This window comes from Homo sapiens, chromosome 5 (assembly GCF_000001405.40).
Source record: "Homo sapiens chromosome 5, GRCh38.p14 Primary Assembly".
NCBI lineage: Eukaryota > Metazoa > Chordata > Mammalia > Primates > Hominidae > Homo > Homo sapiens.
The window spans coordinates 166086205-166093196 of NC_000005.10; the positions used below are offsets into that span (position 1 = coordinate 166086205).

At 37.7% G+C, this 6992-nt stretch overlaps 1 annotated feature.

Annotated features, from left to right (window-relative positions):
- Window positions 1983–2826: an enhancer, noted in NCBI's record as "OCT4-NANOG hESC enhancer chr5:165515192-165516035 (GRCh37/hg19 assembly coordinates)". NCBI's record gives its function as "activates a minimal SCP1, AML or CMV promoter by ChIP-STARR-seq in naive H9 embryonic stem cells {active_cell/tissue: H9 hESC(naive)}" and the evidence as "EXISTENCE:reporter gene assay evidence [ECO:0000049][PMID:30033119]".

Genomic DNA, 6992 nt, shown 5'->3' on the forward strand with positions numbered 1-6992 from the left:
TGGCAATAAATTCACGTGAGGCTCCCCTACCTTGGAGTAATGGCCCTTGATCAAAATTTTGGAAGAAAGATTGCTTCTGTGCTGCTAATTCTCAAATGAACCCAGATATTAACATCCTAGTGGCCCCCAAAATAAAAATGCCATCTTCTCTTTGGCATTCCTCAGTGAAAATTCATAAAGCTTAGAGGATCTCTAACGTCTCCTGTAGCTCTAAGACTCTACACTAAAGGCAGGGAACTGCCTATTTTTTGCCTCTCGTTGAAAATACATGTTGTTTTATCCTTTTAATCGCTGAAATACTTCCTACTTAAAATATGTCAGAAGTGTAAGCCTAACCAGTTTACTCTGATTGCAAATCAAGTGTTTCCTCCAATATGCTTTTCTGAATTGGGAAAAATGGGGCTCTTAGAGATCAATATGTGGCATTCTTCGTGTTGTGATCAATTGGTGATTAAGTGAAAATGGTTTAGCTTAATTTGCTTTGAAAAGCTGTGCTTGCGCTGATAAAGTGTAGAAGCATTTCTGAGATGAGATACAAGGAACAGATGTTTAGTATAAAATATTGATAGCACTGAGCAGAGATAAGCTTGGGATTTAATTTGTCTTAATATTTCCATTGCTACAAATTCAACAGCTTTTATCTTACTGGGTAATTACAACTTTTTCCCCCTCTGGCATAAGATAAGATAGACTTTTTTCAGTTTTCTGTCACTTTTAAACTCTTTATACCCCCCTTCTCTCTGTGTTCTTTTTTCTTCCCCTAGGTACTAGTTTCTTTATTTTAATTTCAACTGCAATCTTCAGTTACAAGATTAGATAATTTGTTTGTAAAATTCGACATTTTTCTTGCCTGTTGTTTTTAGGGTATCTAATCGTGTTACCCCTGAAAATGAAATGCACATGTTAGGATATATGTTGTTTTGTCTAGAAGGTCACAGAATGCTGAGATTCAGACAACACAGGAGTTTGTTTTTGTTTATTTGTTTGTTTCACATGACATTCAGGCTAAGAAAGGGTTTCTGTTCCACGAGGTCATTTGGGAACACAGGTGGAACAGTAGGTTCTGTCCTCCTTGATATATGGCTTCCTTTACCATATGGACAGCTGGGGCTTCCTTTGTTACTGTTTTTCAGGCAGGAGGAAGGGCGCTGGGAGCTAGGTGGGTGAGAAGTTCAAGGCAAGCAACTTGTCTTCAAGGAAGTGACCCGGAAGGTGCACATATCAATTATATTCATTTATCATTGGCTGTTTGTAAATATGTTCACATCTCACTGGAAGGGAGTCTAGACGATCATTTTATCAATGAAAAAAATACAGATTCCCTCTTCTAGTAATATGGCAGAGCAGGTATGCTGAGAGGTCCTCCAAAAAAAAAAAAAAAAATCTGAAGGACATCATAAAATAATAGCATTATTGTATTGCTGGAATCAAGAACATGAGGGAAATCTCTGACAGACAAAGGACAGAAGAACAGAAATTTTCAAAACAGAACAGAAACCCCCCAAAGCAAGCTAAAACAAAGACTGTGAGCAGTGAGTACCCATAGTGTCCCCGACTGGGTGCATACTAAGCCTTGGGCCTACCAGTCATAGATTTTCAGGATGAAGCCAGAATGGGACTAGAGTAGACCAAGTCAGTCGTGAGCCTTGTCTCATGAACAAAACAACTCAATGAAAGAGAACATCTGAAAAAAAAATTCCATCAATTTAAGCTTTCAGATTTTGCACAGATAAGAACAAATATGAACTTCCATTCAATATTCCCAAATATACCAAGAAATGAGTGCCAGGAGTGACAGTCAGCAGAAACACTAAATGAAAGATTTAGTTCCCCAAGTACTTCAGATCTCACAGTGATAAGGTACAAAATATAAAATGCTCACCTATGACTATTTAAATAAATAAAAGATGGGATCACAAAAATGAGAAACCAAAAACAGGTTAAAAAGGAAGAGCAGAAAGATTTGAAAAAAAATCGTAATAACTTAGAAACTTGAAATATGATTCTTGAAATTACAAAAATAATTCAAAATACAACAAAATAATAATGATTATTATTGTTGTACAAGTTGTACAAGAATGAGGCTGGGTTTTGGAAAGAGACAGTGACTCTGGGCCACACTTCATTTCCTGGGCCCTAACGCCATGCTCACGTGAGGCCAGAATATTGCATACTGCCTTGTGAAAAGAGTTTTCATCCCCTTTGAGTGTCCACTCTTTTAACCACAGTCACTGGGACTCACTCAAGGAGGCCAGGCAATCTCATTAGATTAGATTAGATTAGATTAGAAGGCGTTTTCTCCTACAGCAACCCGAGTAGACAACTTTTCCATTTCTTCTCATGAAATAGTTTTCACTCTTTAGAACCACATCTCCATTTCCAAAGAGTATTTGCTTTACATTTGCATAACTAAAAGGCTCAGTGAGATGACTTTCCAAGAACAAAGGAGCATTTTGTCTAAAGAAATACAGGATTTAAGTATCTGACACTTGAGAGTTAGAAACCACTTAGCTGCTTTCAACTGTCACTTTCTCTCTCCCCCCCACCAACCCCCACCCATCCCCATCCCCATCCCCACTCCCACTCGAGTTTATATCCATAAATATTTTTAAAAATCCTAGGGACAGTAGCTAACAGGACACTTGTAGCACTGGCCATACCAGCTTAGTAGTTTCTCACTCTTGGTTGCATAAAGTCCAGTAAATCACAAAACTCAAGTTTAATTGGGAGCTTTTTTCCTCCATATTTGAAAATTGTACAAATAGGAAACTAACAAAAAGGAGCAGTGTCAGAGGTTTATTTGTTTTAAAACAGCAGAATAGTATGCTTTGTAAGGTGTTTAGTAAACATCCTTTGACCTGAACATTGTTGACTCGAATACTGTATCACCTTACAATTCCCACTGAATAGTCAAATAGAGATTACTGACTTCTCTGTAGCCTTTGTATTTAGATTGTACCAAAAATATATTATGTCTGTTTTCTTATTAAATCCTTAGGGAACTCTCTGCTACAGTGTTATCATCCTAATTCATAGAAGTGCAAACTGAGGCTGAATACATAGCTGCTACTATTACTACCACTACTACTACTACCACCTCTGCTAATTCTCCCTATGAAATCTGTGTTATTTACATTACACTATGCTTTCTTCTTTATGTATAAGAAGTGTTGTGTATAATGTAAGTTTCAAAAATAAATTATAATTTGTAGTTTACATAGTGGCTGTTAGTTGTCCAGAATCAATAAAAATTTACATATAATAGAACAGTTATATATGGGAAGTTAGAAAACTTGGTGGTCCCTGTAAATCTCTGGAATTAACCATCTGGGCAACTTGGAGCCAGTCATCACTGGGGCCCAGGTTACTTATATGCAATTTAAGTAATGATGATTACTAGTGCTTCTGTCTATGAAAAAGTCTATGACATTTATATATGTACTTTATCTCAAAATTACATGTCCACACTTTTTCAGTTCAAAACAAGTTATTTGTCTCAATACTGCATTTTTTTTAAAAAAGTTACACCAGTTTGTGTCAGTCACATTACATCTCTGGACCTACTTTTGCCACCTATTAAAATAAAGGGATTGTACCACGTTTTTTAGATATTCTATGGGACTTGCTATTCCTAACTACTGAAACAAAACAGTTTGTCTATGTCATGAGAAACTGTCCTTAAAATTCATCACCATTAAAGCATGAAACAGAAACACTTTAAAATACACAATTAGGCTAGATGCGTTGGCTCACACCTGTAATCCCATCACTTTGGGAGGCTGAAGTGGGTGGATCACCTGAGGTCAGGAGTTCAAGACCAGGCTGGCCAATATGGTGAAACCCCATCTCTATCAAAAATACAAAAATTAACCAGGTGTGGTGGTGTGTGCCTGTAATCCCAGCTACTCAGGAGGCTGTGGCAGGAGAACCACTTGAACTTGGGAGGTGGAGAGGTTTCAGTGAGCTGAGATCGTGCCACTGCACTCCAGCCTCGGCAACAGAGCAAGACTCTGTCTTAAAAAAAAAAAAAAAAAAAAAAAGAAGAAGAAGAAGAAGAAGGGAAAATTGAATGTTAAATTTTTTGTTGTTGAAATTCAAGTTTTATTTAGAATTAATAAAAATATAATTTTTTTGTTCTTTTTTTGCTGTTGTAAGAGGAACAGAACTAGTTCCTTTAAAGAAAAAGAAGAGAAAGCCTCTGTTTTAATCTGAAGCATAGGTTGTCTCATAAAGTTTTGTGACAAAATGGCTGCACACCTCGTTTTGTAAATTTCATCTCCTCAGCCATGTCAGTTGCCTTCATGTGACTTCATTATTTTTCTTATCTTCCCCAGTGAACCATATTAATAACTGATTATCCTACCCTGAAGATGTGTGAAGAAAACTGGGTGAAATTTTGACAGTAACTTTTATTTAATGTAAAATAAAATATTTTTAATGACTTCCAAGAATTCAGAGATTAGGGGAGTTTCTTTAATTTGTATGGATTCTCCAAATGATTCTTCCTTGTTTCTGATTTGGTGAGAAATTTCATATGTGAAATTTCAACTGAGCACAGCATGGTACCGCTGCCAACATCTTTGACTTTGGCATTGAAAAATTGAGATTAGTTTCCAGTGTTCTAAAAGGGCACTCCTATGATTCTGGAAACGTGCCACACACCTTTCTTTCGTGAAATGGATAGGTATCCGTTAATTAGACATTATTATTAATGTCATGTTCAGCTGCATGCTAAAGGGCACAATGTGGAACTGAGGGCAGGAATGATGACTTTGATGATATATGGACAGTTTCATGAATTACTTAAAGAAAACTCTCTCTTTTTACCCTATTGCACACAATAATTAAAAGATAAAAAATAACTATGAGAAACTATAATAGGCCTAAGGATCAGGTTTGTTTTTAGCTTCCTTCTTTTGTTATTTGTCAACAGTGGTCAGAAGTCTCTGAAACACCGCACAGGTTTAAGAATCACACAATGTGAAGAGTTATGAATGTACTTAATACCTGTTTGAAGGCCTCCTCACTAAATTTTTTAGGAATCTTATTTTATTTTTAGTTCTGATATGTTTCTTAACTCTAAAATTCAGCACCTTACAGGCATAAAGAGGGAGAAAGTATTTTTAAGTGTGATAATCTCAAATGGTATGGATGTTTGGCCACAAAGTCTATGAGGGTTTGTTATCTAGCTAATGCTATATTGTGCCAAGGTAGAGTTTCCCAAAATACGTTCCATGATCTTCTAGTTCTTAGAAAAAGGAGAAGATTTTAGGTTCCAATAAGTTTAAGAAAAATATTTAGACGTAGGTAAACGTTTCTTATTCTAGAACATCTAAGAGTCTTAACTATGTGACTATGCATTATGAGTCTCCCACAGGAATATTTCACACATTTAGGTAAATCATATTGTGCTCCTTGTCGTGGAACATCGAGTGGGACTATTTTGGAACACATGTTGGATGCCCTACATTAAGTGATTCATATAGCAGACATATGCCACAGTCCTTAACTTGAATAGACTTTTCAGAGAATAGATGCACTGAAGTGAAGTTCCCAGGTGTGATGATGTCAGTGTATCATGTTATTGTACATCATAACTGCATTAATGATCAACTAAAACTATAAAATCTTTGATGAAAACAATAGATACAACACACAGTTTTAACATACCTTAAAACAGTAAACATCCCTTCAAATACAACACTTATCTCAGCTTTCTGATGGTTAAGGTACTAGAAGGGATTGGTCAATACAACTTACTGCATCTTATTTTGCAAACTCATGTGCGTGAGGATTTTACTGGATTTGACTAATCCAGTAAAATCAGGAAGTATGTTCATCTGTGCATTGTCTTCTCCTGTGTTGCTATAAAGAAATGCCTGAGATTGGGTAATTTATAAAGGAAAGAGGTTTAGTTGGCTCATGGTTCTGCAGGCTATGCAAGCATGGTACCAGCATCTGCTCAGCTTCTGAGCAGGCCTCAGGGAATATTTACTTATGGTGGAAGGCAAAGTGGGAGCAGGCACTTCAAATGGTGAAAGCAGGAGCAATACAGGGTTGGGGAGGTGCCAAACACTTTTTTTTTTAAATTAATTATTTGAGACAAAGTCTCACTCTGTTGCCCAGGCTGGAGTTCAGTGGCATGATCTCGGCTCACTGCACCTCGACCTCCCAGGTTCAGGTGATTCTCCTGCCTCAGCCTCCCAAGCAGCTGGGATTACGGACACCCACCACCAGGCCCAGCTATTTTTATATTTTTACTAGAGACAGGGCTTCACCATGTTGGCCAGGCTGGTCTCGAACTTCTGACCTCAAGTGATCCACCCACCCTGGCCCCCCAAAGTGCTGAGATTACAGGCGCGAGCCACCGTACCCGAACCCAGACGCTTTCAAACAATCAGATTTCACAAGAACTCACTCACTATCACAAACACAGCACTAAGCCATGAAGCATGTGGCCCCATGACCCAAACACATCCCATTAGGTCCCACCTTCAGCATTGGGAATTAAAATCCAACATGAGATTTGGGCAGGGATAAATATCCCAACTATGTTATTCCATCCTGGCTCTTCCCAAATCTCATGCCATTCTCACATTGCAAAATACAATCGTGCCTTCCCAACAGTCCCTCAAAGTCCTGACTTGTTTCATCATTAACTCAAAAGGCCGAAGTCTCATCTGAGACAAGGTACGACCCTTCCACCTATGAGCCTGTATAATTAAAAACAAAATACTTCCAAAATACAATGCTACAATGTTATTTACTTCCAAAATACAATGTTATAATGAGGGTATAGGCATTTAGTAAACACTGTCATTCTAAAAGAGAGAAATTGGCCAAAAGAAGGGGGCTACTAGTCACATGCAAGTTCAAAACCCAGCAGGGAAGTCATTAAATCTTAAAGCTACAAAATAATCTCCTTTGAGGGCTGGGTGCAATGGCTCATGCCTGTAATGCCAGCACTTTGGGAGGCCAAGGCAGGTGGAGCA